The following is a 12,066-nucleotide window of genomic DNA, read 5'->3' as shown; positions in this document are numbered from 1 at the left end:
GTTTGCCCTAAAATTTTTGGGTTTAAAACTATATCACATCCATCACAAAGTTGGAGATCAGAAAAAGTGCCTTGATAGGCCATTGGGAAACCATCTGCCGACTTTCAACTGGCTTCCAAGAAAGTGCAAAGTAAAACATTTTATTGGCTTGTAGTGTTAAGAAAATGAGGCTGTAAGGCATTAAGTCAACCACAACAAACCAGTGATTTTGTTTTTCCTCTAATACCTAAACCTGGTCCAATATATCTAGTGAAATCTTTTACTTCTTTTTCTTTGGCAATGAAAGAGAACATGCTTTCATGTAAAATGACCTCTGAAACAACAGTGCAGTAATGTGGCCAGAGCAGTGTGTTTAGAGTCTGAAAATCAAGAGTGACCTTGCTATGTAATCTTTGACAACTCTCTTACTCTCTGGGTGTCCTGTGAGTTGGATTTCTCTTTCTGTAAAATATACACGGCCTTTTATCTACTACAGTAGGAATAGAAAAAAAATTTGAGAACTCTCTTAGCATTGCATTTTTTGGGTATGAGAATTTTTAATTTTTTAAGAGTCACAGCTCATTTACTTTCAGATTGTATCTGTGTTGTGGTTTCATTTTGCAGTCTCTGCATATCCACTATTTTAGCTACTGATATTATTCCAAATTATTTTTTGTCACCAAAACCAAAAATAGTAGGTCCTGAATAGCCACTATAGGTCTTTATGTTTTTCTTTAGTGTAGTACCTCTAGAGAGCAGTTTATTTTAACTCTCTTCTTTTCTAGATTGTTCATGTTGGAAGGCATACTTTCTGAACTCTTCTCAAGTGATGATAAAATGGACTAGTTGATAAATCTTTCTGGTACAGGTTTTCAAAACTTCCATCTATCCACTGTGCTTTCATGTTAAAGAAAGAATGGAAACATCATCTCTAAAACAAGATAAACAGCTCTGGGGCTGAGGAGGCCAGCCTGCTACTGGGTAGTTTTGATATCAGAAGTATTTCAAAACCTCTCCCTTGTGGAGGATGAGTTATATACCCACCCTGGGGCATCAACATGAAGCTGCTGCCCAGTGTGCCATTGACGGAACGCTGCAGGTCGGACAGGCCGCTCCTGCTAAAGTGTAACTTAAGTTATTCTCACAGAAGTACCATCCCACAGAACCCACCCGGGGGACTGTGGTTCTACACTGACTCAGTGATCAGAGTGGGGACATTTTCTTATCCTTCCAGAGACTGACAAGAGAGGGGACCTGAAGGTACCTTGATCTCACAGCTGCATCCTGATACATATATTTTTAATACTGTGATGGGAATAAATTACTCTGAGGCTCCCAATAATGGCTGTTTTTGTTTTGACAAATGAGGCTCTGAGGTTAGATCCCATAAACCTCTACTTCCATCAATGGAGATTGAAATATTCATGTAAATTATCTGCATAAATTCAGTGTCAATCTATTCAGATAAGGACCACGGTTGTTTTTAGAGAAAGAACTGGAACGTAAACAGGTGATTTTCAAGGGCTTTCTTTTTACAAATTGCCCGCTCGTTACAGAAGGGTGCTATGAGAAGAGCAGACTGGGTGGGGTCATGGCTCACTTCTGTTTCCAGTGACTCCATTTTCTATGACTTCTCAGCCTTTTCATGGGCCAGGAGGTTGAGCTGAAAGCAGCTTTGGCCACGTAAATGATGTTGGGGCACAGGCATTTTAGGAGGTGTGGAGGATGTAGTGGCTACCAAGGTAAATAAATCCTCTTTTCTCAGAATACTGGCTATGTGAAAATTACGGCTTTTCTCTTTTTTCAAGGTTTTTGTAAAATTGCTCTTGGATTGATTGCATGAATTTTGTTGTTGTGTTTCCTTTTATAATTTTTGACCTTCAGAGCTCAAAGAGGCGATCTCATTTGCACAACACTAAAAGATGCAGGTTATTCCATTGTGTTGTGTGTGTGTTTTTTTGTTTTGTTTTGTTTTTGAGGCAGAGTCTCACCCTGTCGCCCAGGCTGGAGTGCAATGGCCCAATCTCAGCTCAATGCAACCTCCGCCTCCTGGGTTCAAGTGATTCTCCTGCTTCAGCCACCGAAGTAGCTGGAGTTACAGGCATGCGCCACCACGCCTAGCTAATTTTTGTATTTTTAGTAGAGATGGGGTTTCATCATGTTGGCCAGGCTGGTCTCCACCTCCTGACTTCTGGTGATCCACCCGCCTCTGCCTCCCAAAGTGCTGGGGATTACAGGCGTGAGCCACCACGCCCGGCTGTGTGTGTGTTTTTAAAAAAGCTTTATAACAAATGTATACATGCAGCTGACAGAGTAATAGTCTTATTTTACATGTGTGTTAAGTCTCTTAATGCTAACACTAAATGCAAAACAGGTGCTGGAAAGAGCCTAAAGCAATTATAGTAGGGATGACACATCAGTAGTTGTTATAATGACTTAACAATTAAGGGTTCACTGAAATTCTTGTCAAACTCAGGAGACTGCTCAGCATCATCATCATCTTGTGGAAGTGCAACAATTAAGCTCTTGCTTTGCTATGTTGTTATTCAGAACTGAAAACGCCCTTTGGATTAATTTTTCTTCATTTCCCAGCCTGCTCATTTTATTGAATGACGTGGTTATGGGACCCTGGTAAGTTTTGATTCGCCTTCTGTTAAGAGGTTTATTTTTACCTACTTTCTATTAAAGGCCCCTTACCCCCAGCTTAAGCCATAGATGAAATTACATGTTTTGCAAACTATGCTCGAGTCACATATGTCTTCATTTCATAACATTATATAGACCATATCTACTGTAATTCTTTTTATTATCAGTACTGAAATTCTGACAGTTTTGGTGGAAGTTAAAACAGACTCAAAGACAGTTGAAAATCCTTTCAAAGACTCAAAATGTAAACCTAATTTTTACCAATATTAATTTATACAATGGTAGAAGTTAAGTTTGATTTCTTCTTCCAGATGCTAAAGTTCCGGTTAGCATCACTTCTCTTATTCTCTTTCTTGTTCTTTTTAAAAAATCTGTCTTGGATAAGATGTCAGTTACATGTGTGCTATTCCTGCTTTCACTTAAAGGTTAAAATTAAGTCTTTTGTTTGTTCCGACTGCAATTCATTCCTGGCATTGGATAAGAGCTAAGCTATTGCTTCTCCAAGTTCTTCCCACAATAAAGGTGGAAGTAACAGTAAAATGATTACTAGCTTTTCTAATGTGAATTATAATACACCTGACAAAACAAATTCACTTTAATATAAAGTGGGATGTAGAATTTTATTTCATCAGCCACTTGTCAAACTAACTCACTTAGAAACTCTAACGTTGTTTTTAACCTTTGCATTAATGTTGCTTTTCATTTTCATTATCAAAAAATTCATCAAGTTTCAAATGACGTGCCCTTTCTAGGGGTTATGTATGCTTTCACTTTTTAATAGCAATTAATATACTGTGTGAAAAGTATTACTTCATTTTATCTACTCTAGTTTTTTGAGGTTAGAGTTACACTCAATTCAGCATGTTCTAGAACTAGGTACTAGGAAAAATACCCTTCTTTCTGGTTACTCTTATGCAACCTAGAGTCATCTTTATTATGAAAGTACATTGGGCATTGGCAAAAATAAAACTAACCTCTTAATCTTAGAGTATAAGATTAGGTGTGTAGTAAATATCTTTAAAATACTTAGCAACTTGAAAAACAGCAACAAAGAACTTTTTTTAGGTGACTCTTACTTATTATAAACTACTCTGCAATTAGGCAACCGAGACCCTAAGGATTTTAAGATTACAAAGTGGTTAATGGGAAGAAAATCTGGCTTTCAGACTCCTTGTTCTGTGTTTCATAACCAGATGAAGAAGGGGCTACAGCCCTCATCGTCTAAGGACAGTCTCTCCATTCAGCTTTTCTGAATAGAGACCTCATGGTTTTCTTCCTGTTACTGAAGAACCTCTGTGGTGTGACTTTTCCTTGACTATCTGAAACAATTTACACACCCTCCCTGCCATGCCTTCACTTCAGTCCATCTTCCATCCGTGAACACACCGGGCCCGATCCTGTTCCTTCCTTGTGCCCCACCCTTCTCCCCCACATCTTGCTGGCTGTTCTTTTTCACCACTTGGTTTTTCATCCTTTAGAGTTCAGCTCTGGTCTTATCTCCTCCATTACCTACTATTAACACCAACCTCTCCTTCCTCTGAACTCTAAAACTTACAGCTATACTATTTTATATTTTTATTTTGTTTATATGTGGCTTTACATTATATGATCCTTATGAACTATATTTTCTATGTCTATGTCTACCACTAGCAACACAATAGTTTTATACATCTTATATAATTTAATTGAAGGGGCAGAAATGGTCAATGTGCTCCTTTGGTTCCCCTGTTCATCATCCCATTTCTGGTGGTTTGAATTGGAGACTACAAGCGAAATGAATCAGTCAGAGTACAGTCAGGAAAAAAGAACCCAGACCAAGTGGTTTCACTGAGAGAATTTAACATGGGGAACTTAAGAAGTGGGAAGTGCTAAAAAGGCAAACAGCAAATGGTGAAGGCAGGTCTTTGCAAAAGTAGGAAGTTACCATCACCTTTCTAGAGGAGGTGGTTTCACCACAGTTTAGGAGCTGGGGCTGCTCAGTGGGTGCTGCGACCACCAAGGGTAAGGCTTCCCCAGGGAAGCTGGGACCACGGAGGAGACACAAGCAATATCAGAAGTACTGGCCAAAGCGAGGAATGGAGGAGCATTCACTGGCTTCTCCCCGCCTACGTTCCAGACTCCTGCCAGTGATGCTTACTAACCAAACTAAACAGAAGCCAGCTAGCAAAGAAGCACTGGTAATGTGTTTTTCAGAAATCAACCCTCTGTGATACAGAGCAGAACAGGGGAAGCAGAAAAAAGAAATCTAAGAGTAAATGGGCAAATGATTAACATGTTGATAGAGCAGAATTGAACACATTCAAAGCTATTCTACATGTGGTGGAAACTACAAATAATTCAATAGCTCATAAGTAACTTGTTTCCAACATCTTTCCTGGAATTACTATTTCTGAATGATCACAAGTTAATAATTTAGACTTCTTAAATAATTTATAATCCCTTTTATTTTATTATAAATTATAAAATACAAAGTATTTCTGTCTATCCTTGGCCTGTTTCAAAGGATTGCAACTATTCTCGCATCCAAATGTAACATATAAAGAAATGATTTCCAAAATGTATTTTCTAATTTAATCCAATCTCCTAAATTGTAGCCACTCCCCAAATTACACCTATTCAATATATTTTCCATCTACTAACATATCTAAAACTAATCTCATCCTTTTGTAATTAGCTGAGACTTTTTCATTTAAAAGTGATAGAAATCCAACTCAAACTAGCATAAGCAAAGTAGGAAACATATAGGCTTAATCTAACTGGGAAATCTAAATCTAAATCTTGTATTTCAGGCATAGCAGAATCCAGGAGCTTAAACGATATTATTTAAATTCATTCTCTCTCTCTTGTTCACTCACTCTCCTCTGCCTGCCTTTGTTTAATTTTGCTCTCAGACAGGCTAGCTTCATGCGTGATATGCGTAGAATTCCTGCAGGATCGCATGCCCACCTAGAGAACCATTCCCTGAGGCCAAGTATACAGTGGATTCTGATTGGCCAGACCTAGGTAAGGAAAGTACCATTTGGGGTGGGGTTGCGGGTGTTACCTTCCTCACCCAAATCACATTACATTTTGGGAAAGAGGTTGTTTCCAAAAATTGGGATACTGAGAGGATTAAAAAATATATATTCACTACACTCTTCCTTCCTCCTACTACCAATTTCTTTAAAAAAGTTTTGGTTTTTGGCCAGGCATACTGGCTCATGCCTATAATCGCAGCAATTTGGGAGGCCAAGGTAGGAGGATCACTTGAGCCCGGGAGTTTGAGATCAGCCAGGGAAAGGGAAAGGGAAAGGGAGAGAAAGGAAGAGAAAAAAGGGAAAGAAAGAAAGAGAAGGAAGGAAGGAAGGAAAAAAAATTAGCTGGGCATGGTGGTGCATGCCTGTAGATCCACTGAGGTGGAAGGATTGCTTGAGCCTGGAAATTCAAGGCTGCAGTGAGCTGTGATGGTGCCACTGCACTCCAACCTAAGTGACAGAACAAGGCCCTGTCTCAAAAAAAATTGTTTTCGCTGTCATAATTTTGTCAACCACGCAAGTTATAAACTATCTACTCCCCAATTTTTGCCCCCAAACCCAATCAGTCATCAAATCCTATCACCTTTTCCTTGAAAGTAATTCTCATATCTGTCATTTGCTTTTATTTTCCCTTGCCACCACCTTGATTTAGACCAGGTTTTCTCAACCTGGGCACTATTTACATTGTGGGTCAGGTGACTCTTTTTGGTAGGGTATTCTCCTGTGCTTTGTAGGATGTCTCTACTTCATGGATGCCAGAAGCACTCTCCCTGGTATGACAGCCTAAAATGTCTCCAGACATTGGAAATGTCTTATGGGGGCAAAATAATCCCCTGGTTTAGAATCTCTGATTTAGACATTTGTTATTTTACACTTGGACTACTTTGCTAGTCTTTTAAATTTTATTATTTTATTTTATTTTATTTTATTTTTGAGACAGAGTCCCCTGTCTCAAAGGGATGTCTGTTCACTACAGGAAAAGAAAATGTGGCACCAAAGCTGGGCTTTAGAAAATGCATAGGAGTTTGAGTGGCACAATCTCGGTTTACTGCAATTTCTTCCTTCCAGGCTCAAGTGATTCTCCTGTCTCAGCCTCCTGAGTAGCGGGGATTACAGGCATGTACCACTATGCCCAGCTAATTTCTCTATTTTTAGCAGAGATGGGGTTTTGCCATGTTGGCCAGGCTGGTCTCAAACTCCTGGCCCCGAGTGATTCACCCATCTCGGCCTCCCAAAGTGCTGGGATTACAGGTGTGAGCCACTGCATCTGGCCTACTTTGCTAGTCTTATATCTACTGTTTCCACTTTCATTACCTATCCTTTTACCTTTTTTTTATACAGCATTGCCAAAATAGTATCATTAAAACACCACATTGTTTATGAAAATCCTTCGCTAAAATTTCTGCCAGTGTTTCTCTACTGCCTACTGAATAAAGACCAGATTCTTTTTTTTTTTTTTTTTTTTTAATGAGACAGTCTCACCCCTTCAGAGTCTCACCCCTTCACCCAGGCTGGAGTACAGTGGTGCAATCTTGGCTTACTGCAACCTCTGCTTCCTGGGTTCAATTGATTCTCCTGCCTCAGCCTTCTGAGTAGCTGGGATTACGGGCATGAGCCACCACACCCAGCTAGTCTTTGTATTTTTAGTAGAGATGGGGTTTCACCATGTTGGCCAGGCTGGTCTTGAACCCCTGACATCAGTTGATCTGCCTGCTTTGGCCTCCGAAAGTGCTAGAATTACAGGCATGAGCCACTATGCCTGGCCAAGACCAGATTCTTTAATCTGTCATCTATAACCAATCTCACAACCTGTTACTACTCAGCTAAATTTAAGGGAATATTTTCCACTCAGATTGGACTACCCATTGTTCCTTGGCTCTGCTTGCATTTTCGAAGTCATTGGTTTTGTTGCTCTGTAGGCCAGGAGTGTCTTCTCTCAACTTAGTCTGAGTCAAACTCTCAAACTCCTATGCATCCTCTGAAGCTCAGTTCTGGTGCCACCTTTTCTTCTCCTTCAGGAGATCTTCCTTATATCTTCCTTCATCCTCCCCAGTACACGCTTATCCCGCTGCTCTCACATTTTACCGTGCTCTTATTACATTTTGGCTTGTCATTCATTTGACTCATAGCACATGCAGCTTGTACTGTTATCATGTATGATCTTAGTAAGACCTTATAATTCCTACTCAATTATAACTTCCTTGAGGGAAGAGATTGAAATATGTGATACTCTCTCTGACATCACCACTTAGATGTGTCTTAAGGCAAGTGAAGTTAATTTGCCTGTGTTTTTGTTTTTCCATCTGCTTCATGGAGACAGTCATGCCCTTCCTATCTATCTCACTTCCTTTTTGAAGATAAAATACATAAGGTGTTTGCATTTCACAGAGCTACTACAAAGGACTACAGAGTTCTTACGTGAATCTGCTCAAGATTTGCTGTGACTTGCTGTAGAAGGTCAGTATACTTTTGGGAATGGATAGGAAAGTGAAAGCGGAATTATTCTGAGAATTATTCGTGGTTGTGACTGTGTATAGACCACCCCAGTATTTTGTGCTTTCACTTGGATATTAAGTTGACTAACTTTTTAACAGTCCTAAGGGAAGTAAGAAAAATGGAGTCATGGGAATGGAGAATGGTGCAGCTACTTTGGAAAACAGTCTGGGAGTTCCTGAAATAGTTAAGCATGGAGTTACTACATGACCCATCAATTCCACCCCTAGGTATCTATCCAAGAGAAATGAAAACATATATCCATACAAAAATGCATGCACGCATGTTTATAGCAACATTAACGCATCTTAGAATAGATAGAAACAACTCAATTGTCATCAACTGATGAGCAGTAATACAACGTGGTGTATTTACACAGTGGAATGTTATTCTGCCATAAAAAGGAATGAAGCAGTGATAACAGGTGACAACGTAGATTAACCTTGAAAACATCATGCTAAGTAAAAGGAGATAGTCACAAAAGATCTCACATTATATCATTTCATTTATATGAAATGGCCTGAATAGATAAACCCCTGGAGACAGAAGATAGATTAGTAGTTGCTTGGAATGGGAGGTGGCAGGGGAAGATGGGGGACAGATAGGCAATATCTAAAGAGCACAGGGTTTCTTTCTGAGGTGATAAAAATGTTCTAAAGTTGACTGTGGGTCCGGCATGGTGGCTCATGCCTATAATCCCAGCACTTTGGGAGGCTGAGGCAGGCAGATCACTTGAGGTCAGGAGTTCAAGACCAGTCTTGCCAACTTGGTGAAACACTGTCTCTACTAAAAATACAAAAAATTAGCCAGGCATGGTGGCGCGCACCTGTACTCCCAGGTACTCAGGAAGCTGAGGCAGGACAATTGCATGAATCTGGGAGGTGGAGGTTGCAGTGAGCCCAGATTGTGCCACTGCGCTCCAGCCTGGGCCACAGAACAAGACTCTGTCTAAAAAATAAAACATAAATAAATAAAAATAATAAAGTTGACTGTGGTTATTGTTGCATGTATCTGTGAATATACTAATATTCACTTAATTGTACACTTTAGATGGGAAAATTATGTGATGTGTGAGTTGTATTTCAATAAAACTGTTTAAAAAAAAACAAATCTAAAACTAAGTGACAGAAAAAAAGGATTCCACAACCTATCAATATCTATTCAAGTTTCTTGAATCAAAACAGTCAAGGTAATCTAAGACTGAAATGTTAAGCCGAGGGATTCTATCTTACGTGTTCTTGGTGTTAGTCCCTTGTTTGCCCTCAACTCATTCCTACTCCCCTGGCAGAAATTGTGTTCTGCATTCTCTGTTTCTGTGTTCTTATTTGATGCTGAACTTTGTGACTCATGGATCCACAGAATTCTATTAACTTGCCATTACTAATTTTTGATTTTAAACATAGCTATGTCAGGTTGTCAAAATATAAATTTTTATTATAAAAGATTATACTTATTGGGGGTAGAGAGGACAAAATCCTGGCTTCCCAAATATAGGGGACACTTGAACAGCATCAATTTCTGCAAATGCTCTTATGTTGTGGCCAATTATACAGGACAAAGTTTATGCAGACCATGACTTTTTGCAGTTGTTGGAGGTAACCAGTTTTCTCTGCTTTCTGAGACATGTGCTAAGATCGCCAATGAATTACTGAAGAGTTTTCATTTCTCTGTGTAATACATACATTGTTTTACATAAACTCAATTTCACCTTTCTGGTCTATTTCCTCTTTTAAGTATAACAGGAATTTGTGAGCCTCCCAACCCTTTCCTAGGGGCGGATGTTTTAAACAACATGAGGCAATCCAGAAGTTTGGCCTTACCATCTCTCCTGCAGATATCCCTCTGCTGTCTCTGGCATTCTGGGTTTCTTGGCTGCCACAGTAGCCTCTGTTTCTTAACATCTCCAGGGACTGTCTTCTCTTGGTGCTGGAGAGAATGTAATGAAGAAGCCTCCTTCCTTTACTTTTCCCTTATTCCCTTGACACTTCAGCCTCTTCAATGGGAAAACATCAGATGTCATGGAATATATAATGTGTATCAAAAAGCAGTAATAATGATAACAGGAACATTAATACAAACACTTATTGAGCACCTACTGTATACCATTAACTAACACACAGACTGCCTCTGCATGTCACGGCCTGCTGGCTGAGTCCTGCCCCCATAGTGTCAAGCTCTTGTCATATGGCCCTTCCCAGGCAGCCCTTCCTGTTGTTGGGTTCTGGTAACCACTCCCTCCCTTACTCCACTTCAGGCCTTGGGGTGGTAACACCTGCTCTACCAGCCCCAGATATTTCACTAACCCCTTGTGATCTCTCGTTTTTATTAAAATTTCCTTCAATTTTCCTGTTACGAGCATGCCACTTATTTCCTGCCGAAGCCCTAACTGATGCAGTCCCTTGGGTGTTCCCCCATTCCTGACCTGGTTCCACCTGAGTTCACACCCATGCCTCATCTGGCTCATGGCCAAACTCAAGTTGACTGTGAGCCCGGCATGGTGGCTCACGCCTATAATCCCAGCACTTTGGGAGGCCGAGGCAGGCGGATCACTTGAGGAGAGGAAATTCTTTAATTAGCAGAACTCTGGTTAACACCTGCAGAAAATCTCGTCTTCATTATTGTGCCTAAAATCATCAGGTTCAGATTCTTTTCTACTCTGCCTGGAGGGTCTGGCAGCATGAACAAAAGACCGTAGTAGCTTTAGTGGCCTCCTGGAGAACATTACCAACTGTCACTGAATTACTTTGATTCCGAATTTGGGGAGTTGCTCTCCCACTCATCCTCATTCATAAATGAATTGGGATTCATAGTCTTGCTTCTTTGGATTTATGTTTCCGCTTTATCTTTTCCTCCAAAATTCTAAATATAGGAGTAAATACAGAGTCCTAGGGATGACCTTCAGGGAGGTGCCTAATATAGTTTTTGAAGGGCCAGGAAGTCTTCTTGCAGGAAGTGACAGGGGTTGGCCAAGTCAGGAAAGGATTTTCTAGGTGGAGGGAACAGTGTGTGCAAAGGCACAGAGGCAGGCAAATGCATGAGCAATTTGGAGAAATGCAAGACTGCATGGTTCCCAGGGCTTATCCTGTACAAACATCCTCAGGTATTAAGGATGAGAGATCAGGTGTGTTGTTATTAAGGCCACATTGGTTGTGTATTGCTAGCATGTATTGCAGTTGATTAGTGCCTGGGGTGAGCAACCATCCCAATTTGCCCAGGAGTGTCCCAGTTTTAACACTGAGATTCCCATGTCCCAGAAAAGCCCTTAGTTCCAGACAAACTAAGGCCATTGATCACTGTATATTGTTACAGCAGTTGTTAAATATTTTGGACATCACCCCTGCCTTTAATATATGTGCAATCATATATATAATGTATTACATACACACACACACACATTCTTGAGTCCTTATTTTACAAGGTTATAGCTTTACATACTCTTCTTTTAGTTTTGAGCAGGATTTCTACCTAGATACTGCATTCTCATGTATCATCTAAGATGACCTCCTCTCCCCTTGACAGTGTAAAGTATTTTTCCATACATGTAGTCTCTGAGGCATCTTGAACTTTCCTTTCCTGCTATCAGATGAGCTCCCCTCAAGGATCTTTGAAGAACTCTCTTCAGACTTTTCTGCTTAGAGGAAATTCCTTTTTAGCCTCAAAAGATAGCTGGCTGTATTAAAAGAAGTGCTGCTATGACTGGAATGTTTGAAGATTGCTCCAGAAATTGTGGCTTCGTTTTAGTTTTAATTTTAGTTTCTGAATTACGTATTTAATATAGACCAATTTGCAAGAATAGCAGATATCCCAGCTGATTTCTGTAGCAGGCAGAAGTGTTCTTCCTATCTGCTGTTCTCTGAGCCAAACAGCTGTGCTTTGAATCTGCTCCCCGGGCAGCTGCCTTATGCTGTGACCCTCCCAGCACACTTCCTGCTTG

At 40.2% G+C, this 12,066-nt stretch overlaps 1 long non-coding RNA gene across 1 annotated transcript in view; it reads left to right on the top strand.

The window, feature by feature from the left end:
- GALNT7-DT (GALNT7 divergent transcript) overlaps positions 1–1,316 on the top strand; it is a 37,720-nt gene extending 36,404 nt beyond the window's left edge. The window contains exon 7 of the long non-coding RNA NR_134242.1: positions 765–1,316. This is a non-coding gene — a long non-coding RNA (GALNT7 divergent transcript). The remainder of the gene's footprint in view (positions 1–764) is intronic.
- Positions 1,317–12,066: the final 10,750 nt, after the last annotated feature.

This window comes from Homo sapiens, chromosome 4 (genome assembly GCF_000001405.40).
Source record: "Homo sapiens chromosome 4, GRCh38.p14 Primary Assembly".
Taxonomy (NCBI): Eukaryota; Metazoa; Chordata; class Mammalia; order Primates; family Hominidae; genus Homo; species Homo sapiens.
This window is presented reverse-complemented; position numbering and strand designations above follow the sequence as displayed.